The sequence below is a fragment of the Homo sapiens genome, chromosome 5 (genome assembly GCF_000001405.40).
Source record: "Homo sapiens chromosome 5, GRCh38.p14 Primary Assembly".
In the NCBI taxonomy this organism is placed as follows: Eukaryota; Metazoa; Chordata; class Mammalia; order Primates; family Hominidae; genus Homo; species Homo sapiens.
Window position 1 is genome coordinate 167845844 of NC_000005.10, and position 27633 is coordinate 167873476.

At 43.4% G+C, this 27633-nt stretch overlaps 1 protein-coding gene across 30 annotated transcripts in view, besides 1 other annotated feature; it reads left to right on the forward strand.

Annotated features, from left to right (window-relative positions):
- TENM2 (teneurin transmembrane protein 2) overlaps positions 1–27633 on the forward strand; it is a 1285129-nt gene that overhangs the window by 866815 nt on the left and 390681 nt on the right. The window lies entirely within an intron of this gene.
- Positions 13567–14134: an enhancer, noted in NCBI's record as "H3K27ac-H3K4me1 hESC enhancer chr5:167286415-167286982 (GRCh37/hg19 assembly coordinates)". NCBI's record gives its function as "activates a minimal SCP1, AML or CMV promoter by ChIP-STARR-seq in primed H9 embryonic stem cells {active_cell/tissue: H9 hESC(primed)}" and the evidence as "EXISTENCE:reporter gene assay evidence [ECO:0000049][PMID:30033119]".

The following is a 27633-nucleotide window of genomic DNA, read 5'->3' on the forward strand; positions in this document are numbered from 1 at the left end:
AAGCATCAGAAAGTCAACTAAACTTGTTAGATGGAGGCAGGGAAAGGAACCTGGACAGCTGGCCCGACTGCTCCTACAGTGACCTTTCCACTTAGCATTCTCTCATCCATTTGATGTCACTCAACAGCTGCTTCCAGCCTCATCCTTCACCCCATCTTCTTCGCAATGCCCAACTCTAAAATCACCTTCTCTCTCCAGTTGTCATTGACCTCACCTTCCCCAGGCAGAGTTCACTGCACCCTCTTCTGGGTTGCAATGTCCCTGAAAGCAGGTCCCTTTCATAGTAGCTACCAGGTTGACAATGCAGCCACCTATTTACATGTCTATCTCCCTCACTGAAGTGTGGATTCCTCAAGGACACAGACTGTGTCTGGTTCCATGTCACTTTCCTTGTGTCTGGCACTGCTTCTGCCACGTAGTCAGCCCCCAGTGAATATTGGTTGAATGAATTTGAAGTGTTAGTAAACACACACTACAACACAACTTAGAAAAGTGCTCAGTCCAGAGTTCCCATCCTAAATTTCTTCTCCATCTGCATGAATTCACTGTGCCTGAATGGCAAGTCATTTCATTTCGGAATTATCCTGAATCAGAAAAGAGAAGGCAAGAGAAGCTCTGGCCATCAGCAGCATGCGGATTGCTAGAAAATGTTTATCCCCAGGAAGCCTAGAAGTGCTGGGGAGTCTTTTTTAGAATGCTCAGGTGTTGTTTCTGTGATGCCAAGAATCTTCCAAAAGATTGAGATGAAGCCACAGAGAAAAATGCTTCAATGTTTCAATAACATTAAAAATTTAAATGCTAGAATATTTTAGGTTTCTTTGATTTACAAATTAATACCCCCAAATATGTATATAAACATTCCCAAGGCTGAGGTTCACCAAGGACCAATTTATTGAACAAGAAAGCCTCTTTGGATTCTCCTTAAGTGGCACCTTTTGGTTCACATAAATAAACTTGTCTTCCCCTCTTCTACCTCCTCTGAAAGAAGGTTGTGTGAATTGAAACTGCAGAATCATATTCCAAAGATCGTTGTGCGTTATCCTGAGGACAGGAAGGGCACAGCATCAGAGAATCTTCCTTTTGGATTGGACCACAGAAGTCATTTCAATTGATTGATTGATTGATTGATTGGAAATGGGATCTCATTCTGTCACACAGGCTGGAGTGTAGTGGTGTGATCAAGGCTCACTGCAGTCTCAACCTCCTGGGCTCAAGCCATCCTCCCACCTCAGCTTCCCAAGTGGCTACGAGTATGCACCACCATGCCTGGCTACTTTTTAAAGATGTTTTGTAGAGATAGAGTCTCACTATGTTGCCCAAGTTGATCTTGAACTCCTGGGCTTAAGCGATCCTCTTGCCTTAGACTCCCAAAGTGCTGGGATTACAGGCATGAGCCGCCATGCCCAGCCTCACCCTATCTTTATCCCACATAAATGTCTTTTCTAACATCCTCTCTAAGGGCCATCTAACATCTGCTTAAATGCCTCCACCCACAGTGAACTCACTTCCACACAAGAAAGCCCATTTCATTTGTGTACTGATCAAATCACTAGAAAATCTACTATTCTATTAACCCAAACTCATTTTTTCTATCACTTCTATTCCTTGGTCTCTGTTATGCCCTCTGCAAATAAACAAATCAAATGCCAACCTCCTTGCACAGGACTGGACTGCATAGCCTGAGTTGAACCTTCCCCTGTACACACAAGACCCTGTCTGTCCAAGTCTCCAGTTCTCCTGAGAATCCTAGATTCCTTCATACCTTCACCTCACTGAAAGTTAGCGCATCTCCACCATTTGCCCATTTACTTCTGAACACCTTCAATACAGATGTTCATTTTGAAATGTTTCTGTATCTATGAGTATGTTCTGACTAAATCTCAGAGCAAAACTGGAAGAAGTACAGCTTCTTTTCATTAGAACTTTGACTTCTATTCGTGGTTTATTTGGGCCAAACATATTAATCTGTGTCTCATGCAGAGATTATACTGATATAAAACTCCAAAGCCTTTTTTTATATTTGCTTCCGTTCAGTCATATTTTCCCATCTACTACTAACAGTTTTATTTTTCTTTTAACCTAAGTGCAACACTTTACACTTACCCTTTAGATTTCAGTTTGGGTAATTTGGACATATTTGGATCTTTATTATTTTCCAGAATATATGTTCATTCTTCTAGCTTTATGTTCCCTACAGATAAGATGACCGTTTCTCTCCTTATGTGTTTCTCAACATACCTGCTGAGCATGCCCAATAACAGAGCCCTGTGGTACATCATTAGGAACATGTAGAGAAATAGACTTCAGTGGACTACAATGAATGGCTGAGTAGGTCATGAGAGCTGAGTGGATCGTGAGAACTGAATAGGTCATGAGAGTTCTTCAAAGTGTTAAATAGTGAATGCATAATAGAGTTGCCATAGATCTTACCCTTCAATTGAAAACCCAAGTGTCCATAATGATCAGCTAGGCAATATGAATGAATGAAATAAGAGGGCATGGTGGGGTTTGTGGTAAAGTGGAGAGTGCATATGTAAATCAAAGCCACTAAAATTCAATTAAAAGAAAAAAACACTGTTTTACTGCTTTGGCAAATATATATATATAAAACATATTATATATTTTGTATGTATATATCTTCATATATACACACACATATATCTATATGCCAAATGAGGCCAGTGGGCTGCCACAGGGCCAACTCTGCTCCAGAGAGCAGCATTAGAACCAAGGAATAGACTTGTATGTTTCTACTATGTAGAGCCATCCTCTTAATGATTTCTCGGACAGTCATTGCTAAAAAGCTACTGCTCTAAGCACTTTTTCTCCTTGGGTAGTTGTTGAGACATTGGTTCACTCTCTGGTGACTTTTTTCCAGAGCTGACAGTATCAATGTTATTTCCATTTATGGTTGATTTAAAAACTGTCAGAGAGGTTGGTTTCCTTGATGAAAAATTTGGGAGGCTAAACGTCTTCCCCACTTCTACCCCTTTCCCAACCCCCTGCTACGGGTGATCCTGACACTAGATTAGATGGACCACTTAAAGCAGGCTAGTTTTTTGTTTGCTTTTTGTTTTTTGGGTTTTTTTGGCCACATTGTATATTGTGTTAGTTTCCTATTGCTGGTGTAACAGATTACCACAGACTTGGTGGTTTAAGACAATGAAAATGGATGATCTATCTTACAGTTCTCTAAGTGAGAAGTCTAAAAGCAGTCTCAATGGAATAAAATCAAGGTGTCAACATGACAGCATTTCTTCTGGGGACACCATGGGAGAATCTACTTCCTTGCCTTTTCCAGCTTTTATAAGCTGCCTGCATTCTTTGGTTCATAGCCCCTTCCTCACATCAGTCCAACATCTGCTTCTGTGGTCATATCTCCTAGACCGCTAACCCTCCTGCCCCCTCTTATCTCCTTATCTCAAGATCTTTAACTTATTACAGCTGCAAATTCCTTTTTACCATGTGCACCAACTACCAGAGACAGGAAAAAAAATTGTTTTTCCCCACTCTCACACTTCTGACACTTTATTCTGATGAAAAAATAAAATCCAATCATTTTTTCTCTCTCCACTCACACTCAACACACAGAACACTTCACTTCTGGTTACCATCATGTTCAAGGGTTTCTGCCCACCAGCAACCAATCAGTTCTCCAGTGGACACCAGCTGGGTGTCCACTACTTCAATTCAATTCTGACACTATCTACCTGGAGGTAGCATCAGATCCCACAGGTTAAGGGCCCAGTCCCTCAAGACTGCTCCCACTTCAGATGTTAATCACAAGTCCCATGTTGTGACTTGTGCTTCTAAATGACCTGGTATAAATCAGAGGACCCATGACCCCTTCCTTGGGTTCTATTAATTTGCTAGAGGGATTCACAGAACTCAAGGAAATATTTTACCTACATTTTTACCTACATTTATCCATTTATTATAAAGAATTTTACAAAGGACACAGATGAACAGCCAGATAGAAGAGATGCATACGGCAAGTAAGATTGAAGGGGTGTGGAGCTTCCATGCCTCTCCAAGTATGCCACCCTCCAGGAACTTCCACAGATTGAGCTATCCAGAAGCTCCCCAAATCCTATTCGTTTTGTTTTTTATGGAGGCCTCAGTGCAAAGGCAGGATTGATTGCATCATTGTCCGTGGGTGATCAACTCAACCTTCAACTCCTCTCTCCTCGCTGGAGGATGGGCTGAAAGTCCCAACACTCTAATCATGCCTTGGTCTTCTGGTGACCAGCCCCCACATCCCAAAGCTATCAAGATGACCCCAGCCACCAGTCGTCTCATGAGAAGACAAAAGACTTTAGAAGACAAAAGACATTCATATCTCCAGAGATACCAAGGATTTTAGGAATTGTATGCCAGGAACCAGGATATTTCACAATATCACAGTAACATGTTCACAGGGTCCAGGAATTAGAACCTGGATGATTTGGGGACCATTACTGTGCACACCACATACTTTCTGAGCTACCACAAGGCCAGGTTGAGAGAGGAAGCTCTCCACTCTGTAACCTTCATTCTAACAGGCCCTGTGAGGCTGTGGCAGAGTGGAGTTAGGGGATTCATTAAGGAAGGGGATTCCACTAGGACTTAGGTGTACTAGAACAGACTCGGGACTGTACTAGAATATAAGGCAGAGAGAGAAGACATTGTTCAAAATTTAAATCCTCCCGAGTTCAAAATTTAAAATGAGAAATTTTTAAATGAGAAAATTCCTTTCTTTCTCCCACATTTACCCCAGAGATGATGTAGCCCAGCTTCTGAGAGTAAGCAAAGCAATAAATATGAAACAGGAAACGCTGGTAAATAACTTCCTGGGGACTACTCTGGAGGATGGGGGCTGCAAAGCTAATACTTTCTTGATATTTTAAGGGAAGCTCCTCTCCAAACCACCTGGGCTGTGACAAGAAGGAAAGAAACCTGGACCCTCAACCAGTATCCAAGGGCTGGCTTCATTTTTTCCCCAATTAGCTTGCAACGAGTTAATAGTAGCTCTGTAGTGCTGGATTCAGGGATTTGTGTGACATAGATAAGGTTTGGCATTAAAAATGCTAAATCATTACAACTCTGAATTTTCTCATGTTCATTCACGAAGCTGTAATCTTTCCCACCTAGTACTATCACTCTTAGGGTGCATGAATCACTAATTATTGCCCTAATCCCAGGAGATAAATTTCTCCAAGGAACCCAGCAGCAAAGAGCAAAGCCTTGAAACCTACTTATGAAGAAATGTGTCAGCCGTCTTGGAGATTTTTACTTCCCAACTTGGAAATTATGTTGATTGGAGTAAGTGGAAGCTTAACTGGGGGGTTGTTGATGTGTGTTATCATCTGGGGGTGGTGGCAGAGGGGATAAACTGTGAGAGAGAGCCAATTTTATCTCAGTTTGTCCTCTGACTCATGAATTCTGAGTCCTGCAATGGAGTTTTTTGCCTTGCAAGAAAAGCTAGATTAATGCTTGTGTGCATAGTCATTGACTTTATAAAAAATCAGATTACAAGGAATAATTTTAGTGTATATTTATATATCCAAATTTATCATAATCACCAAGGATTTTAAGCAAGATTTTTCACGGTTTCATGCACTATTGAAATATTTGGTAAGGGGAGAAAGAGCTGTTATCCATATCCTTTCTAGATGTTATTCATCTTCTTGTTTTAAGGTATAAAAATTTTCCCTGAAAGCCTCTGGTTTGGGCCTTGGATGTAGCAATACCAGAGCCCGAGGGTAGACTTTTGACTATAAAGAATAAAAAAGTTCCAGGGCTTAAGCTTTGATTGAGGACATTCCTGTCTTTGTGGGAAACAGCAACAGAAAAAAGAAGTCCTGTAGCCAAGACTTGCTTGGGTTTTTCTGCTGAGGACCGCCAGAGATTCCCGCAGCTCTCTTGTTTGGGAGGAAGATGGGGAGGAAGAAAAGGAAATAGGAATGCTGTGTTCCTTCGTCTTCCCTTCATTTCTCCCATGTAAAAAATAAAGTAGCCAAGGAATTATTGTCTCTTTTAGGAATGCCTCAGACTGTTAGAGTTATATCAATTGATACTGTCTTAATTTATCCTATAATTTTTTTAAAGGAAGAAAGATAATATCAGCTCTTTATTGCCTATGTCTGTACTATAGATGAAATGTGTCACACTCCTTAATTCTCTCCCACATTATCATATCTTTGATAAACTCAATAGAGAACCAGTAGCAGAGGATGCTTGAAATGGTTTTTAAATTATTTCAGAAAGGCTTCCAATTAAGCTATTGGGAAATATGTGTGTATATATATTTGTTAAAATTGTAGGCAGTTGACTTGCTTTTCAACGTTTGTAAGGTTTTCCAAGCTTGAACCACTTAAGTCAAAAGTAGAACTAATAAAAGCACAATTGAACTTAATATATTATGTCAAGATTTACAGTAATCGATTATTGTTTTTCAGCTATGAAGATATCATTAAGCATATGCCAAGCAATCAGCGCATGACTGTAATAGGTTCATGAAGGAAAGGCTTTTTCTAATCGTTTTCAGTGGTGTTTTTCCCAAGACAGCAACAGCTTTTATAAAATGATGGTTATATCTCCTCATTATGGAATCTAATCTCCCCAAAAGACATTCAGCAGCTGCAAAACGGTAGCATCTTTTAGCTGTAAATTGTTTTTTATTATTTATCCCTATTTAACTAAAGAAGAAACGGCCATCAGATGATTTAACAAGACAAGAATTTAGTAGTTTTAACATTTGACAGCACCCAATTGTTAGCCCATGCATTGATCTCTTTAGATCTTGGCTTAATGGTAATTGGTGTATTTTTGCTTTCGTGTCTCTATGTACTGTATAAGCTGAGTATGAGTCTTCTAGGAACCAAATCTGCATGATCGGCTCTTTTATATTTCTCTTTAACATGGGATTTGAAGTTGTGTGTACTCGTAGAATTCAAGAAATTGCAGAATTAGACAAAAAGGAATACAGCCATCCTAATGTGAGTCCAATTTTAATAGTGGGTGTCATTATGAGCTGAATTTGTTACCCACAAAGTGATAGAAGAAAGTCGGAAGATGGAAACCTCTGTTTATTGGTATTATGATTTACTGGTGTGCATCCCATCACAAAGGAGGCTCTTCAGTGGGACACAATTTTTTGTTCTTAAGAAAGTGATCGGGCTCTGCCAGGCGCGGTGGCTCACTCCTGTAATCCCAGCACTTTGGGAGGCCGAGGCGGGCGCATCAGGAGGACAGGAGATCGAGACCATCCTGGCTAACACGGTGAAACCCCGTCTCTACTAAAAAAATACAAAAAAAATTAGCCGGGCGTGGTGGCGGGCGCCTGTAGTTCCAGCTACTCAGGAGGCTGAGGCAGGAGAATGGCGTGAACCCGGGAGGTGGAGCTTGCAGTGAGCCGAGATCGCCCCACTGCACTCCAGCCTGGGAGACAGAGCGAGACTCCGTCTCAAAAAAAAAAAAAAAAAAAAAAAGAAAGTGATCGGGCTCTATTTGAGAATGTTCTGTGGAATTTAAAAATAACATGGCACTAATGAGTTTTCAAATCGCTCCATGGGTAGAACTCTCGTGAGACAACCAGCTAATTTAAATAAATAAGGTTCTGTGACCCCGTGGGAGCTTACAGGGGTGAGACATCCATTTTAATCGAGGCTCAGTTTGAGAAGAGGAAATTTCACTCATAACATACTTTCAAGTGGATTGGCTGCAATGTGATTTTCTGGCGATGTTTCCTTTGTTGCTATTTTAAGGCAAATGTTTATGTTTCTTTACAAGACTTGGCATATTTTACTGGAAAGGTTGAAGTAATTTCTCCACCCTTAATATGGCATGCCTTTCTAGAATGGTCACTCGGAACCAATTAAGCAACAATTTCATTCCATAGACTATTGCAATTTGCTTTTCACTTATTCTGTGCAGACTGAAGTTGTATATTCATGGACATTTCCCATGTAAGTTTTAGATTTTCCACTTTGTAGATGCAAATACTTCTTCCAGTTTTGTGATAAAATAACTCAACAACAGCAAAATTCAAATAAGACCACAAAAAAAGTCTTATTAAGCTTTACATAAATAGCTGCTTCCCTATCATGAAAACAACTGGGAACATTGTACTGTTGTGAATCTACATTTCTACTTATTCAGTAATTGTACCCCTAGTGCTGTTTACCATTTCATTTGTATTATTTATATATCAACCAAAGGGTATGAACACCAAAAAATAATTTCACATCACCTATCTTCCATTTCTTTTTATTTTAAAAGCCCTGAAGATATAGTTCTCCTATAAATAATGATAAAAAGATGCTGTATTAATATTTCAGCAAAGATCTCCATCTACTCACATACTCACAAATAACATATTCTGTAATATATACACTTACCCCTCCCTAAATTAACTGTGCCTGGGGCTTGCAAGAAAATCAGGTCAAGCTAAAGGAGAAATCAGAGAACAAGACCAAAATTAATTTACTACTCTGTACCACATGTGAATATGAGTTTGTAGGGGGAAAAAAAGGCTTATTTTTTGGACCATCTCTATCCCTGTATATGTTGAGCACTTTTAACTCTGAAATATGTGCTGCGTCTTCTTGCCTGGATGAAGGTGAAAGTTCAACCCTCTCTGCTTAGATTTTTATTAAATCTCATTAAGTCAGCTAAAAGGAGCTGCCTACCTTGTCAGTTCTGTTCCAAAACATCTAAAAGCCCTTTTTGTACCTCTTTATTGCTGGAGGTAAAATTGTGAACACAACCATAATTTGCCTATCTGTCTGAGAAGAGTTTTCTAAGCAACAATTGGCATCATTTTCAAATATTTGGAATGGTTTTCAACCCAGTTATGTCGTATATCTTATGCTATGTGTTAAAGCAAGCACATTGCATATATATGTAAATGCGGTAGGAAGGATGCCCCTTTAAATATGTATATTCATGAACCATTTTGGGTTCCTTTCTCTCAAACCCACATTAACCCATCAGTCAAACATATTGCCATTACCTTCAAAATGCATCCAGATTCTGATCTTTGTCACTTTTGTCACTATCACCCTCATCCAAGACTCACCCCCACTCATCCCTGACCTGGATGGATTATTCTTATGGGTCTCCCTGCTTCTGCATCCCTTGGGTTTGTTCTTAACACAATAACAAAAGTGGCTTTGCTAAACCATATGTAGTATCTTGTCACTCCTCCCTCAGAACCTTCTATCAGCTTTCCGTCTCACCCAGAGTAAAAGTCAAAGACCTTGCAGTGGCTTCTGAGGCCTCCCTCTTCTCCATCTCTCATTCCACTCCAGGTGCACTCACCTGCTTGCTGTTCCTAGAATATACCAAATGTGCAGCCAGCTCAGAGCCTGTGTTGGTGCTATTTCTTGTGCTTCCCCTAGACATCAGCATGGCTCCCTCTCTCACTTCCACCAGGTCCCGTTCAAATGTTATCTTAACTGGGAGGTCTTCCCTGATGACCTTATATTAAATGGCACCCACCTCTTGACCTCTACTCTGCCATTCCCTACTCTCCTTACCTTTCTCTACTTTTCCCTTGAAAACACACACACATATGTTGTGTTTACATATGCTTATATGCATACATATATATATGTTCGTATACATGTGTCTGTAAATATATTTATTTATGTTTAATTTGCTGTTGTTTTTGCCGTTATTTATGTGTTGATTGCCCCTTCTCTACCCTCCAGAATATAAGCTCCCAGAAGGAAAGGACTGTTTGCTTTTTACTTCATAACCCCAGTTTATATAATAGAGCCTGATATGTACTAGACACTCGAAGAATATGTGTCAAAAATATGGAAGGAGGAAGGAAGAAAGAGAGGAAGGAAGGAAGGAAGGAGGGAGGGTGGGAGGGAAGGGAAGGAGAAAGGAAAGAAGGGAGGGAGGGAGGGAAGAAGGAAAGAAGGAAGGAAGGGAGGGAGGGAATGAGGGAAGGAGGAAGGAAGGGAGGAAAGGAGGGAGGGAAGAAGGAAGGAAGGGAGGGAGAGAGGGAGGGAGGGAAGGAATGAGGGAGGGAGGAAGGAAGGGAGGAAGGAAGGGAAGGAGGGAGGGAGGGAGGGAATGAGGGAGGGAGGAAGGAAGGGAGGAAAGAAAGAAGGGATGGAGGAAGGAGGGAAGGGAGGGAAGAAGGGAGGGATTGTTCAAGAATCTCTTTTCATGGCTGGTCTAGGAACTCTGATGGAAATTCCCTGTTAGTCCTTTTATCTTCCACACAGTCACTTATTTCGACTTCACTTAGGCTGGGTACAAACTATTTTAGTTTGGTACACATATGCCACCTCTTTGCTTAAACAAACAATGTGACCCGTTTTCTGGGATCATAGGAGAAATAAGTGGGAACACAGAGGCCACCATTCCCGTCTCTGCTTGGACATTGACCAGTCACCCCTCCTGCCCCCACTTTGCCAAATGAGCTGAGGAAATGCATCCTTACCTCCCAAGCAAACATTAATTACTGTTTGCACCACGCTTTGAGATCCACAGATGAAAGCAGTTGTAAAAGCAAAATGGGTTATTATGTTGGGAATGGTTATAGACTCATTTAGCTCTGGAAACCCATCAAGCAGGAATGTTGAATCATGAAACTAGGGTTGGCCAAATATTACACTTGTTATAATTAATTTGAGCTTAAGCTTCAACACAGTGACATGTTTCCTTTAAATAAAGTTAAGTCCTCTAAGGATGCATGAATCTATATGGATCTCGATTTTCAGCTGGGAACTGAAATTTTTCAGATATGCAGAATGCAGAAAAGCAAATGTGTCTCTGACTTCTGGTGGGGCAGGGTGAATATCTGGGCAGACTGCTTATTTTTGAGACATAAATAATCTTCTGTCTCCTTTTCCCCACGGGGCTGTGAGAGCAGTGTTCACAAAATTATGGGGATTTAGGACTGGAACTGAATTTAAAGGGCCTACAATCCTACTTCCCACTGAATGCCAAAACATTGTCTACAGCCTTGCTGACAAGAGCCGCTCAGGACTGCTGAAATAATTTCTGGGATGAGGAGCTTGTTACTTTGCAAGGGTGCTGATTCTGATGTTGTTCAACAACTGTTGTTAGAAAGCTCTTTACATGTTTATCCATTTTTGTCAACAAATATTTATTAATCACTTTCTGTGCACATGTACTTTGTTAGGAGCTTTGGGATATGGAAAGATTAAAACAGTGCAGATTCCGCAACCACCTAGAGCAATGCCCTGGCCTAGGAGAGAACCTGAAAGGTGGTAGTTATTCAATACATATGTGTTCATTGAATGAACTACAGAGTGGATTACATTCTAGCAAGAATGATACAGCACATGCCAAAGAAGCCATGATACCAAGTGGAACATGTATAAAGGAGAGGTATAGATACATGCAAGATTTATCAAGCTGAATGTGGCTCTTTTTCGTAGCCAAATTCAGCTTGAATTTCGCTCTTTTTCCAAACCAGCTTATAAATGTCCATTCTGTTTTTCATAGGACATGGCTAAATTATTTGAGAATTGCTACAACGTCCTTTACCTCTCTTCCAGGGTTAAGAACTGCAGGGCCTCGAGTGTATTAAATTATTTCTAGTACACACATCAATCTGAATTTCTTCCCCTAGGCAGCTCAGTGCCTCAACTAGGCTCTTAAGAGGTCAGCCTAGAATGGAATACACCAACCAATTCAGACGTGTTCATACAGGCCTACAGTACATTGGGTCTCTCTTTCCTATGATCTGGACATGCTTCCCATACCATCTCATACTGCATATACTATTTGTTCATGGAACCCTTGTTTCCTGGGACATGTTTTATCTTGAGAAAACCCAATATTTCAAAGACCATAGTTTGGAAGATAAGAGTCTAATGTCATATGTGGGTTGGTTTTATTAGGGGGGAGGGGAGCAGAGTAATTATTTTACACATACTGCATTAAAATTATAGATTTATAGTCCATTTATATCATTTTCTATGAAGGCAGATTTTCTTCATCCTTATTTGAATTTTGGGTTTTCTGCTCATCCCCAAACTTAAGTACTGGAGAGGAGTGTTATCTAATAAATAGAGCCTTAGACTCAGGTCACTAACTTACTGTGTGGTCCAGAAAAAGCTGCATTCTCTTTCTGAATTACATTTTTTTCATCAGCAAAGTGAAGTGGTTGATCAGGGATATTATCTAAGGTTCCCTCTAAAGCTAACATTCAATGGACTTTCTCCGTAGCTTTCTTTGACTTCATCTAGATCATTCTATGACTTTTGCTAATCTCAGGGACAGAGCTATCAACTAGAAAGCAGTTCTAAACAGAAGCATAGCAAAAGCAAGACACAGCAGGTCAACCTGAGCCCCATCTTCTAAGGCTTATTTAGCATGTCAGAACTGCAGAGACTGGGAAGAAAATGTGAGCTAAGAGCCACAACAGCCTTTGTTCTGCATCTGTACCATGTCTTCATAAGACGAGGAAGTCTGCAAGTCTTCATAAGAAGAGGAAGAAGCTGGGCATTTTTGCATGTGCAAACCAATGCTGACATTTCTGTCACATCACTTCTACCATGATGGGTTTTACAAGTTGCCCACATGAACATGTTTGTTCATGTCTGAAATGGCACATCATTGTATCACCTCACATGCAAACTCCTCACTCACTTTAAGTCTTTCAGCATTTCTACCCTGGTTGGTAGTGGCTTCTTTCCTGGCAACTATGATTATTTGAAAACAACGTCAAGAGAAGGCTCGAAGGCGCCGCGGGCTGGGGTCGGTGGCTTAGGGAGCCCGTCCGGCCATGGTGGCCGCGGGTGGTGGTTGGCGCGGCTGCGCTGCGGCCCGGGGCAGTGCGGAGCCGGGACAGTCGCGGCGCTGACGCCCGCGGGCACCAGCTGCAGATATGAAGCAGAGCCGCTGCCGCGACCGACCGCAGCCGCCGCCGCCCGACCGCCGGGAGGATGGAGTTCAGCGGGCAGCGGAGCTGTCTCAGTCTTTGCCGCCGCGCCGGCGAGCGCCGCCCGGGAGGCAGCGGCTGGAGGAGCGGACGGGCCCCGCGGGGCCCGAGGGCAAGGAGCAGCTGCCTGCCTTGGCCTCCCAAAGTGCCGAGATTGCAGCCTCTGCCCGGCTGCCACCCCGTCTGGGAAGTGAGGAGTGTCTCTGCCTGGCCGCCCATCGTCTGGGATGTGAGGAGCCCCTCTGCCTGGCTGCCCAGTCTGGAAAGTGAGGAGCGTCTCCGCCCGGCCGCCATCACATCTAGGAAGTGAGGAGCGTCTCTGCCCGGCCGCCCATCGTCTGAGATGTGGGGAGCGCCTCTGCCCCGCCGCCCCATCTGGGATGTGAGGAGCGCCTCTGCCCGGCCGAGACCCCGTCTGGGAGGTGAGGAGCGTCTCTGCCCGGCCGCCCCGTCTGAGAAGTGAGGAGACCCTCTGCCTGGCAACCACCCCGTCTGAGAAGTGAGGAGCCCCTCCGCCCGGCAGCTGCCCCGTCTGAGAAGTGAGGAGCCTCTCCGCCCGGCAGCCACCCCATCTGGGAAGTGAGGAGCGTCTCCGCCCGGCAGCCACCCCGTCCGGGAGGGAGGTGGGGGGGGTCAGCCCCCCGCCCGGCCAGCCGCCCCGTCCGGGAGGTGAGGGGCGCCTCTGCCCGGCCGCCCCTACTGGGAAGTGAGGAGCCCCTCAGCCTGGCCAGCCACCCCGTCCGGGAGGGAGATGGGGGGGTCAGCCCCCCCACCCGGCCAGCCGCCCCGTCCGGGAGGGAGGTGGGGGGGTCAGCCCCCCGCCTGGCCAGCCGCCCCGTCCGGGAGGGAGGTGGGGGGGTCAGCCCTCCGCCCGGCCAGCCGCCCCGTCTGGGAGGTGAGGGGTGCCTCTGCCCAGCCGCCCCTACTGGGAAGTGAGGAGCCCCTCTGCCCGGCCAGCCGCCCCGTCCGGGAGGGAGGTGGGGGGATCAGCCCCCCGCCCGGCCAGCCGCCCTGTCCGGGAGGGAGGTGGGGGGGTCAGCCCTCCGCCCGGCCAGCCGCCCCGTCTGGGAGGTGAGGGGCGCCTCTGCCCGGCCGCCCCTACTGGGAAGTGAGGAGCCCCTCTGCCCGGCCAGCCGCCCCGTCCGGGAGGGAGGTGGGGGGGTCGGCCCCCCGCCCGGCCAGTCGCCCCGTCCGGGAGGGAGGTGGGGGGGTCGGCCCCCCGCCCGGCCAGCCGCCCCGTCCGGGAGGGAGGTGGGGGGGGTCGGCCCCCCTGCCCGGCCAGCCGCCCCGTCCGGGAGGGAGGTGGGGGGGGGTCAGCCCCCCTGCCCGGCCAGCCGCCCCGTCCGGGAGGTGAGGGGCGCCTCTGCCTGGCCGCCCCTACTGGGAAGTGAGGAGCCCCTCTGCCCGGCCAGCCGCCCCGTCCGGGAGGGAGGTGGGGGGGTCAGCCCCCCGCCCGGCCAGCCGCCCCGTCCGGGAGGGAGGTGGGGGGGGGTCAGCCCCCCCGCCCGGCCAGCCGCCCCGTCCGGGAGGTGAGGGGCGCCTCTGCCCGGCCGCCCCTACTGGGAAGTGAGGAGCCCCTCTGCCCGGCCAGCCGCCCCGTCCGGGAGGGAGGTTGGGGGGTCAGCCCCCCGCCCGGCCAGCCGCCCCGTCCGGGAGGGAGGTGGGGGGGGGTCAGCCCCCCTGCCCGGCCAGCCGCCCCGTCCGGGAGGTGAGGGGCGCCTCTGCCCGGCCGCCCCTACTGGGAAGTGAGGAGCCCCTCTGCCCGGCCACCACCCCTTCTGGGAGGTGTGCCCAACAGCTCATTGAGAACGGGCCAGGATGACAATGGCGGCTTTGTGGAATAGAAAGGCGGGAAAGGTGGGGAAAAGATTGAGAAATCGGATGGTTGCCGTGTCTGTGTAGAAAGAAGTAGACATGGGAGACTTTTCATTTTGTTCTGCACTAAGAAAAATTCCTCTGCCTTGGGATCCTGTTGATCTGTGACCTTACCCCCAACCCTGTGCTCTCTGAAACATGTGCTGTGTCCACTCAGGGTTAAATGGATTAAGGGCGGTGCAAGATGTGCTTTGTTAAACAGATGCTTGAAGGCAGCATGCTCGTTAAGAGTCATCACCAATCCCTAATCTCAAGTAATCAGGGACACAAACACTGCGGAAGGCCGCAGGGTCCTCTGCCTAGGAAAACCAGAGACCTTTGTTCACTTGTTTATCTGCTGACCTTCCCTCCACTATTGTCCCATGACCCTGCCAAATCCCCCTCTGTGAGAAACACCCAAGAATTATCAATAAAAAAAAAAATTAAAAAAAAAAAAAAAAGAAAACAACGTCAAAATAAATCCTTTCTCATTTTCACCCCTAGCAATCGCTCACTTGGCTATGTCTATTTCAGGGTGTCTGCCCACATCTCTCTTTATTTACTCCTTCTCTCCTTTCTCTCTCTTCTCCATAGATTTTCTCATCTAATGCAAAATGTCCTCAAGAAGGTGGGCAAAGGCCTCTCAGGGTTGTAGGGGGTGGAAGGAGAAAGAACCAACCATTTCCTAGTGCACGATAATGTTTCAGTACCACGGAGAGCGGTGCCGGGCGTGGAGACCAGGGAAAAATCTGTCAGCCTTGCGGGTGGTTTTCAGGCACCATTTGGAGCCCCACAGGTAGTGGAAATGACAAACGTCTACAAAGAAGCTTTGCAGTAAGAACCACTCTCCCCAGAGCCTAAGAGCCAAGCCTTACATCGTCACATGCGAAGAACAGATTGCATCTGGGCCCGGGTGCCCGTCCTAATGTCAGCCTGCTTGGCATTTACCTTCCTTTCCCAGGCTGACCTATGAAGATGGGGCAGGCTCTGGGGGCATTGTTCTAGCCATGCAAACGCTGTGGCCATTGTGTCAGCATGGAAGAGCTGCCGGTTCCTTTCCAGCTCAACACTGTAATTTTATCAACTCTGGCTCAGAGAAACCTATATTTATAATGCTAATTAGAAGGGCACACATTTAATTTGAGTGGAAGACTATTTGTATCTCGCTGAGCCTGATAGCACAGGGCTCAAGCGACAGCAGTCAGAAGCAAAGCAGGCCTTTCTGCCTTCTCCAAGTATTTGAAACAGGGCTTACTCTTGCCAAACAATTTCTCTGTTGGATTAAAAAGAGAGAGCAAGGGAGAGTGCTGAATATGCTGGAGCTCAGAAAACTTTGTGTTTATCTCCTGCCTGCATAATATATTTCTCTGTGCACTGAGAAAACATGCCTCTTATGTTATCTAATTGTTTCCTGACACATTTAGCAACATTTCACACTCTTTAAAGTGACATTAACATTGCTGACAGTGGAGGTATTTTCATTAGATGGGCTTTGAATTTTAGGCAGGATGCACTGCAGGTCTTCAAATAGGCTTGTAAAAAGTGAGGAAGGCATTATTTATGAAAATAGAGACTTGGCCAACAGTGCCCTGTGGATGTGTATTAATTTTGCTGACTCTAGTCAATTTAGAGTATGTGTGTGTGTGTGTGTGTGTGTGTGTGCATATGTACATGCATTTGTGCACACACACACATATAACAGCAACTTGTTGGGAGCCGAACTAAAACATCTTCATTATCCAGCATACCACTAGGCTCCGTGAGTATCATGGAAACTCCCAAAACATCTCTCCATCCACATCTTTTTAGCCATAACTAAGCAATGTGCTATTTCAGACAAAAATCAGTCACTTTGCACCCAATCCTGAGGATGAGTAGCCATGTGGCTCATGTATATAGGCAGCATGATTATCACTCTCCCAGTGTAAAGTTAAATCCTCCTCCTTGTTTTCTCCCTTCATGCTTCTTTGTGCCCCAAGGCCATTTTTCTTATGTCTTCAGCTGTCTGCCTTGATGCATAGTTTTCCCCGGAGAGTGTCCTAAGTGAGCCTTCAGAGAAGAGTACCTTGAAAGCACCTGCCTCTGCGGGGCCTGAAGAGAGACATTTGGAGGTTCATTCTGACCTTGACGAAGAAAGTAAGCCAGGCTTGGAGAAGGTGAGGAAGATGCAATTCGGGTTGTGAATTTCTGCTAGGGCACAACCTCACATGGAATCTCGACCCAATTGTTGATCTCCATACTTGTCATGAGAATAGAATAATATTTAGACATTCAAAGCTGAAGAAGAGAGCTCGCTGCAGACTGTCTAGTCATCTTGACACTACTACCATTTCCAGTCAGCCCTCCTGCCCTACCCTAGTTAAAATTACTCTTCTCTGTTTGCATCTCCAACATTGCAATGACTCTATGTAGCCATACAATGCTTAATTAGAGAGCTCTGAGTTCATATCTTGGCTTTGCGCATTACTTACTGTATAACCTTTGTCAAGTCCCGTGATCTCTTCAAGACGGTTTGCTCATCTGTAAAATAGGGAGAATAATAGTAACTGCTAGATGGTATTGTTGGAAGGATTTCGTAAATTACAAACCATGACGTGCTAAACATACTGCCTAAAACATTTGTGAGTGCTCCAGAAATGTTAGTAAATATTAGTCTCTTCCATGGCAATATGGGCCCTCTTGTGACTGAGACAATGTCATCACATTTCTTTAAAGTACTGATGCTGGCCAGGCACAGTGGCTCACACCTGTAATCCCAGCACTCTGGGAGGCTGAGGCAGGAGAATTGCCTGGGGTCGGGAGTTTGAGACCAGTCTGGCCAACATGGTGAAATCCTGTCTCTACTAAAAATACACACACACACACACACACACACACACACACAAAATTAGCCAGGCGTGGTGGCATGTGCCTGTAATCCCAGCTAATTGGGAGGCTGAGGCAGGGGAATTGCTTGAACCTGGGAGGTGGAGGTTGCAGTGAGCTGAGATTGTGCCACTGTACTCCAGCCTGGGTGACAGAGTGAGACTCTGTGTCTCAATAAATAAATAAATATTAAAAAATACTGGTGCTGTTATGTCATAGTACAATAAGATGGATGGCATGTGTTGACTGAGGCCTACAGAATGTAAGAAGTTTGTTGTGACAAGAAGCTAGCAGCTAGGTAGCCACAATAAAGAACCCTGATCTCCTAACTCCTAGCCCAGTACTCTTCCTAACTGTACGCTAGTGGAGATTTTTCAGATACAAGGCAATGATGTTCGAACAATTGTTCAGGGAGGGTATAAATCAATGCATATGTTATCCATGTCCTAACATCTTCCTAACAACCTAGACCTAGTCCTACTCTCATTTACATTTTCAATTCTAATTTCACAATATTTATAGGTCTTTGAGGGGGAGCTTTTCATGCTTTATATTGGCTACTGGTGGGTAGACTCCCAAGGCATATAATCTTTAGCATCTTATCAAGGACCATTCAATGAGGAACGGGTGGGGTACTGTGAGCGTGGGCAGCATAGAGATAAAACAGTTTGAGCATCTGCTGCCTAGAGTGCATGTTTTATCTTTGTGGTCCCTAAAGCACATAGCAAAACACAGATTTACAGTTGAGAACTGTTTGCTATCTGCAGACAAAGCCTTTGAAAAGGAAAGCTTCCAATAATGAGAATGAAAACAATTACCATTTGCAGAGTACTTCACCATTTGCAATGCACTTTCATCTATGTTATTATTTAATCCTCAGAAAGTCCTGTAAGGGGAATAGAACACCTATCTCTTACCTTTTTTATGCATGATAATAACACATACCATTTAATTCATAAAGTTTACAGAATTGTCTCATTTAGTACATTTAAAACTAGTGAAGTACGTTTCCACACATTTCACTTACCTAGTAGTTGAACACAGAAAAGTTAGATGACTTGCCCAAGGTCTCCCAGAGAATCAGTGGCAGAATCAATATTTGACATTCAATCTGTTTCAATGCCAATCACATTGTTACATCAGCACTTGGTACTTTGTTATTATAAAACCTAATTAAATTCTCTGTGCACTGTGGCATGAGGTCTAAAATCAGAAAACCTCGGTTCCAACTCTTCTTCCCAACGAACTTATCCCCTCTGCAGTTCACTTTCTTCATGTTTAAAATGGGAAAAAGATTGTACAACCTACTCCCAAAGGGTTTGTGTCAGATTAAATACAATAATATATGTAAAGGGCTTGGAAATAATACCTGGTACCTCATAAGAGCTCAGTCAGTCTGAGCAATTGGCAATATTATTGTTTCTATATACCAGGAACCGCAAGAAGTGAACATAAAAATGAGTAAGATGAATTCCTTTGCATCGTGGAACATATGTTCTCTAAGGGAGCCTTTTGAAAATTGTTTCGGCATCGGCATACAGTTCCTTTTAATCTTTCTCTAGCAGTTTTCCCCCCAACTAAGCTCTTACAAAATAGATTCTAGGACGGCAAGAAAACAGCTCAATGTATCTTCTGCATATTACTCAGCACAGACAGACAACTCAGTAAGTGACAGCATTGCCCACATAGTTTAACGCCTTCATCTGAAATTGTTGGATTGTCTTGGGTTACATTTCCCCAGTAGCTCCTGAAGGTGAGAAGCTTTCATAATTAGAGTCAAGAGTGGAATTGAATTTCTCTCTCTCTCTTTTATTTATTTATTTTTTTGTAGAGTGTTGCTCTGCAGTCCAGGCCAGAGTGGCACATTCAGGGCTCACTGCAGCCTCGACCTCCTGGGCTCAAGCAGTCTTCCCACCTCAGCCCCCCAAGTAATTGGGAGCACAGGCGCACACCACCGAGCCTGGCTAATTTTTGCATTTTTTATAGAGATGGGATTTTGCCATGTTGCCCAGGCCAGTTTCAAACTCCTAGACTCAAGTGATCCTCCTGCCTTGGCCTCCCAAAGTGCTGGGATTACAGTCGTGAGCCAGCATGCCCAGCCTGGAATCAAATTTTATACAACGGTTGCGTTCTAAAGTCTGAAAATTAACCAAAAAAATGTGGTCGCGCTACCATGCCTGAAAATCCCTTGCTTCTCTTGGAGACTGACATGTTGTCACTTAATAAATCTAACAGCCAGTTTTTCCTCCAAGGAGCACCAAGTGAAGTAGTGGCTTAATATTCTAGGCCACTTGGTTAAGGAAAAAAACATACATTTAAATTCAGAATCAACTCTTCTTAGCAAGATACTTACACACTGAGAGAGACACCCAAAACCTAAGACAACAGCCATAGCAGCCAACAGTGAAGTGAATGCCATGAGTAGTTGATATACATCCATACATGTTGGTGGAGTAAATTGTTATAATCAACCAATCATGGTGCTATTTATTATGTACAGGCTCTGTACTGGGTGCTAGGATACAAAGATGTGTATAGTGTATAACCTGTACCCAAAGTCACTCATAGTCTCAAGAATCAGCCAGACATTTAGGCAAGTACATAGGCTAACATGTAACAAAAGCAATGATGAAAGTATGTCCTGGGTACCAGTGAGTGTGGTGATCAGAAAAGACTTCTAAGGAAGGTTGTTCTTGAGATGAGTCTTTAGAGTGTCTTCCAAAGGTCTCTAGAAGGTGTTTGCCAGCTGGGCGTGGTGGCTCACGCCTGTAATCCCAGGACTTTGGGAGACCGAGGCAGGCGGCTCACCTGAGGTCAGGAGTTCGAGACCAGCCTGGCCAACATAGTGAAACTTCATCTCTACTAAAATACAAAAATTATCTGAATGTGGTGGTGCATGCCTATAATCCTAGCTACTCAGGAGGCTGAGGCAGGAGAGTCTCTTGAACTCATGAAGCAGAGGCTGCAGTGAGCCAAGATGGCACCACTGCACTCCAGCCTGGGTGACACAGTGAGACTCCATCTCAAAAAAAAAAAAAAAAAAAGTATTTGCCAACAAAGAGAGAGCACCTTCCATGCACGGAGAGAGATATGAGGAGAGAATGATTCATATTCAAAAGGACAGTTGTTTCGGCGTGTTTAGAGCATAGGGAAGGAGGGAGTCTGGCACAAGATAACATAGAGTTTAAACTATACTATAGGCAATGGAAAGCCTTGGGAAAGTTGAGAGAAGGAACATGACCTGAGCAAATGTGTGCATTCAGAAAGATGTTAGCTTTTGTATGAAGGGAAGGAACACAGTGAAGGAAACCAGTAAAGGGAAAGGTAGAACAATAGTCTAGGCTATGCTGTCCAACATGGTAGCCACTAGCCGGATGTGGCTATCTAAATGTCACTAAAACTTAATACAATTAAAAATTCAGTTTTTCAGTTGTGCTAGCCACATCTCAAGTGTCCAATAGCCACATGTCTTAAACACTAGGGATGTAGAACACGCCCATCATCACAATAAGTTCTGCTGGACAGCGTCAATCTGGACAACTACACATGACCAACATAATGTTTTTCCCTTTGAGAGGATCTGGGAGGTGTAATTAAGCTGCATGTGTCAAGCAATTAGAACTTTCTGGTGAGAAGGTATTTGAGGATCCATTGCCTTTTGGAAAACAGGTGTGTCACTGCAGGTAAGGTGGGTTTGTGTCTTTGCAAGAGGAAGCTGCAAAGAAGCACTGCATTTCACCTCATGAAGATGAAAGGGCTAGCATTAGAAAATTACAGAAATTATTTTAAAAACAGACCCTACTCTCCATCTATAGCCTCATCTATATTTGACACCTTCTGAAGTGCAATGCTGCCAGGGAGATGTGATATATAAATATGCATGTTGTTGGTGAGATATAGAAACGACACCCAAATGCATAGGGTCTCAAACTGTGAAGATAGTTCATGCTTGAGCTCCTCCTGCAAGAGGCCCTTTAACTGGGGCCGGTCCAACAGCATGCCACCCTTCCAATAAATTATGCATAAGAGCTTGTTCACAATTGGGATAGTTTTGCCAGGGCCATCTGAAAACGATTTGTTTTCAAGAAAATGCTTAACTGGGCTTTCGTGGGTTCAGTGAAGTGTGAGTGAAGAGGGCAATTAGGTCTTCCACAGTAAAAATAAAAACTTAAAGCGAGATGATGTGGAATAGAACAAACCCAGTCAGGCTGATATCGTCTCATTGAGAAGACATAAGAGGTCATAATGAAAATTCCTCAGGTGAGGTTGAATAACCTAAAACTGAGGTGGAACATTCTCTGAATCTCCTGCCTCCATAAAGGCCACCCAACCCTCTCTTGTCAAACAGATCTCTCTCGCCTCTGGGGAAAAGCATGCTGAAACTTCCCCCAGTGACAATTAGACTTGCTTTGAGGAAATTTTGCCTCTTTCTGACTTAAATTCCCCAATGGTAGGTTAAGTTTGTTTTCTTGCTGTTTTCTTGGGTAGGGGAAGAAGGCTGACTGAATCAAATGTTTTACTTCTAATATCTGCCCAATGCTTATAAACTGGAAAAAAGAGCAACTTAAAAATTGATCACGTAACATAAAGTATACTTATCTAAAGCCATCACACGTAGTAATACAGGATTTCTCAACCTCAATACTATCGATATTTGGGGCTGAATAATTCTGTGTTGTGGGAAGTTGTCCTGTGCATTATAGGATGTTTAGCAGCACCCCTGTCCCTACCCACCAGAAGCCAGTAGCACCCCAACCAAAAAGTTCCCACACATTGCCAAATCTCCCCTAGGGAGCAGGATTGCCCCAGTGGAGAATGACTGAGCTAGTCTGACATTAGCACTAAATATAGCCTGCTATCAGAAATATAGAAGGTAGGTTAATAGCTTTATATAAATACATAATATGATATAAATACAAAATATAAATATTAGAAGTAAAATATAAATACATAATATATATCTGTATTTAAATTTTAAGATGCTGACCGGGTGCAGTGGCTCACGCCTGTAATCCCAGCACTTTGAGAGGCTGAGGTGGGCGGATCACCTGAGGTCAGGAGTTCTAGACCAGCCTGCAACATGGTGAAACCCCGTCTCTACTAAAAATCCAAATATTAGCCTGGCGTGATGGTGCGTGCCTGTAATCCCAGCTACTCAGGAGGCTGAGGCATGAGAATCACTTGAACCTACGAGGCAGAGGTTGCAGTAGCCAAGACTGTACCACTGTACTCCAGCCTGAGTGACAGATAGTGAGATTCTGTCTAAAAAAAAAAAAAAAAAAAAAATCAGATGCTTTATTTGTTAGGGGTCATTTTGCATTCTGCAATAATGATTGATACTACAGTCTCCCTACCTATGGTACAGTCATGTATACACAGCAGGTGCTTGTGAACCAGCTGGAACCAGTAAGCTGAAAGTCTCATTATTTCCATCTGGGTCCCTTGTCCCTACTGTCTGTCAAACACTGTTCTATGGGCTCTACATATAACATCTCCACTCTTCACAACAACATGTAGAGTAGCTGTTAATATCATCAGAGAGGCTCAGAGAGGTGAACTGAGTTGCTCAAACTCCCAAATAGTAGAGTAAGTGGAAGGGCTCAGTCTGCTGGACTCTGAATTCTGTGTTCTCTCCATTCCTCCCTTGGGCTTTGGAGGAAGATAAAACTGGATGAGTTACAAAGTTGGGGATGAATTACACAGCACAGAGATAGAAATAAGGCAGGTATGAAGGAAGAAATAAACATTTGTAAAAGACAATTACGTATTACATCTGTTGGAGCCCAGGGTTTTATTTGGAGCAGGGTAGAAAATGAGAATGGGTTGGGTTTCCTTAATGAAACCAACTCATAGGTGAATTTGAGTGTAAGGCGACTCTAGGTTGAGGAATAGCCCATTGAAGTTTATGGCAATATGCAAACCTGAGTTCAAATCTTGATTCTTACCTTTGGGTATGTTATTCACGTCCCAGAGTCTCTATACTTGTTGAACAACTGACAGTGTGGGTGATAAGTGTGGAAGGGGTATAAGCAAAATCACTGAGGCTGGTGTTCAGCACATCAAATAGGCTAAACAGATAGATATGCTTTGGCTTAACCCACTTTTCCAGTGGTGGTGAATGCGATGAGATGGAGACAGAGAGTCTAGCTGGCATTGTTATCAGGGCACCTCGCAGCTTCTGCACTAGCAGGCCTGGCTGCCATGACCCAGTGCTCCCTCAAAGCCCGTGGTGAAGGCTTGATGAAGAATATCTTGTCACACAGCCCTCTAAAAGCTGCACATGCAGAACTACACAGACCTTGAAAAACCCGATGCACTTTCCTGCAAAATATTCTTATGGTCTTAATGGCAAGGAGAACCACGTTAAAAAAAAAAATCATTAAATGCAAACAAAAGGAGAGCAATATCCCAGGTATTGAAAATATTTTTATTTGCATAGAAATAATGTAAATTTTTCTCACTTTTTGACCCCTTCAAAAATAGGGGCTTCACAAACCCCAAAGATTTAGAGAAAAGTAGATACTTTAGTCAAGCATCTGAATAAATAGCAGGTATTAGGAAACATCATTAGGACAACTGTTTAAATCCTCTTGCTTAAATGTAAGTCCTTTTGCAATACTTAACTTTAACACAAAAGCCATGTTTTTATTAAGTTCTTGAAGTCACATAGGATTTTAAAGTTTTGACTCAAGTTCTTTTTTCTCTCCTTACAAATTATTTTTTTCTGTGTGAGTGGGGCACCATGGTTATTTCCAGGAAGAACCTTGTTTCTGCCCAGGATTAATTACCTCCTCTGGGATGACTTCTATTGTGCATTCCAGAAAAGGACTCATGAGTTTGGGATTCACATCTTATTCATTTGTTAGCACTTTTGTCTAATGTGGAACATAGTAAAATGAAATACTCAAGGCTTGGGCTTTGGAGTCAGATGACTTGGGTTCAAATCCCAGCTGTGCTCCCTGCTAACAGCATGATGTTAGGAAAGTCAGTTCAACTAAGCCTCAGTTTCCTTACCTGTAAATGGGGAAGACAGTCTTACTAAGTTCAGAGAAAAGTACTGAATGTTAAAAGAATGTGTATACATATATATATATATATGTGTGTGTATATATATATGTATATATATGTGTATATATGTATATATATGTATATATATACACACACACATATATAGTAATATATATATTACTAGAATACTTAGTACTTAGCTCAGTTCTTGAAATAAAGCAAGATCTATATATATATATATATATGTGTGATAATGAGGTCATTGAACTTATTATTTTGAATACAATTATTCCTAGTACTTTTTTTGTTACTGTTATCTGAGCATGTCTCTTTGCTTCATCAAATATCCTGACATCTCATTGCTACATAAATCACTTATGCATTGCCTACACAGAACATTCTAATATCTGCTTGCCATTAATCTGTTGAATAAAAAAGAACCCGTTGTTTTAAGTGAATTTTGGGAATTGATCTGCAACATGCCCTCTGTCATAAATTCGTGAATATATTAAAAAGGGTTGGGCAGAGCAGCAATTTCACTAATAATATTTACTGCTTTGGGGATGGAGAGGAGATTGTAGTCCTTTGGTCTTGGGGAATTAAGTCAGGATCCAAATCAACTTAAAGAGCAAAATGGTTCTGTAATTAAGACAATGGGAGTGAGAGCACTATGGTTTCAACCACAGATGGTGTAGGATAAGGTTTTCAGGTATGACTGAAATGGATGATGAGTGAGGACCTGGAGCATGGCTGTCAAATAAGCACTGTGATCTGCTACCTCTCCCCACTCCACGTCCATGAAATTTCTAATTGATTATGTCACTGTTTCCTGCCAAATCCAGGGCTTCCTCACAGTCCTTCTCAACACAGCATTCCACACAGCCACTACCAATCTATCAGAGTTAGCACAAAACTGGCTATCGGTACTTTAATCAGGAAAAAAAAAATTCATGAGTTCAAACTATCACTAAATTGTATTCATTAGGAGACAGATAAATTAGAAAAAGTTGGATTAGTCCCCATATTTAAGGTCATGGTTAATCCAATCACACAGATAATTAGTTTGACTTTGATTTACATGGGGATCTTGAAAACACTTACACACACACCCACACATACACAAGACCATATGAGTTTAATGAAAAAGACATATTGCTGCCTTTGCCTGTTTCCTTTCGTTTTTTAACAGATCAGTTGAACCTGGTTTTCTGTCCATTTGCTGGAGACTCTATACTCATTCAAAATGGAACTTTCAACATAGTTGGAGAGTCAAGGGGCTTCAGCAGTACATAAAGTGGGAACAAGGTGAATGTCTATCACCTGGTTACCTGCCCATGCCACACTGAGCATTTCTGTAAGAAATCAAAATTTATAAAGTGAGCCTGTAGAAGTTTCAGTTTTCTCCCCTGTACTTTGGAACCTGTTTGTGTCTGTACAGATGGTCTCTGTCAGTTGGAATAGTCAGGGGGGAAAATGTAGCATAAGTGAACAAAATTAGCAAATGACATAGCAAACAGAAAACAGCATACCAGGGCTGGCATGATGGTTCATGCCTGTAATTCCAGCACTTTGGGAGGCTGAGGCAGGTGGAGGCTTGAGCTCAGGAGTTCGAGACCAGCCTGGGCAACATAGTGAAACTCCTTCTATACAAAAAATACAAAAATTAACCAGGCATAGTGGCTTGCATCTGTAATCCCAGCTACTTGTGGGGACTGAGGTGAGGTGGAGGTTGCAGTGAGCCGAGATCATGCCACTGTGCTCCAGCGTGAGCAACAAGCAAGACCATGTCAAAAAAGAAAAAAAGAAAGAGAAAGATAGAAAGAAAGAAAGAAAGAAAGAAAGAAAGAAAGAAAGAAAGAAAGAAAGAAAGAAAGGAAAGAGAAGGAAGGAAGGAAGGAAAAGAAAGAAGGAAAGAAAGGAAGAAAAAAAGAGAAAGAGAGAGACAGAAAGAAAGCAAACAAGCACGAAAGAAAGAAAGCACGAAAGAAAGAAAGAAAGAAAGAAAAAGAAAGAAAGAAAGAAAGAAAGAAAGAAAGAAAGAAAGAAAGAAAGAAAGAAAGAAAGAAAGAGAAAGAAAGAAAGAAAGAAAGAAAGAAAGAAAGAGTATACCATTTGCTGGGGGCAGATCTAGGGACTGAGAAATTTCCGAAGTAATGGTAGGTACCAGTAAGCAGAGTTGAAGGAGCTCCCAAAACATGGGCTTAACGTGGGCAGAAAAATAACAGGAATCAGACAATTCTGTGATGCGTATTCTCAATACACTGTAGTAACCCCAATGCTTTCATTGTGTTATGACTGCTCTTCTATTGTCTGTATTTGTATAAATTAAACAGCAGCTCTCTCTGTACTATATGAAATGAATTCATGCTGAACAAAATTTCAAAAAGTTCATGTAAAGAATAATTTCACAGCAACTATCATATCAGGCTCCTGGAAAATTGCACTTGAACTTCAGTTCCACCTCAGTCACTCAAAGGAATTTAAAAATTGGCTTCCAGCCATCCTTGTTCTTCAACATGCAGTTTCAGATATGCCTCAATAACACAAACTTTAAAGCCTATTGATTGTGAGTTAAAATCTGTTCCTACCAGAGCCTCGCTGCTAAGTGGACGTCAACACTGACTTCACAGTGCCTTGGTCAGGATTCCTCTGAGTTCAGGAGCCTTGAAGAAGGCAGAGGGTAACACTGCTATGAAGGAGCCACTTTGAACTTTATAACAAAATTACAAGAAAAACTTTGAACTCTGTCGGATGATAGCGGCTGTAAATGGTTATTCAAAGAAATGTTTCTTATTTGAAATCTGGAGTCCCTTGGGATTGGGAGATGGGAACGCAGAAACGTGATCTGCTGTAGATCACTCTCCTTCTTTTATGTCACTTCTTCCCTTTTTTTCTCACCATTCTGTTTAGGCAAGCATCATGTAAATGGTTAGAGGGTGAACTTTGAAATAGTTAAACCCAAGTTTGAATCCTGGCCTCTGCTGCTTAACTATCTG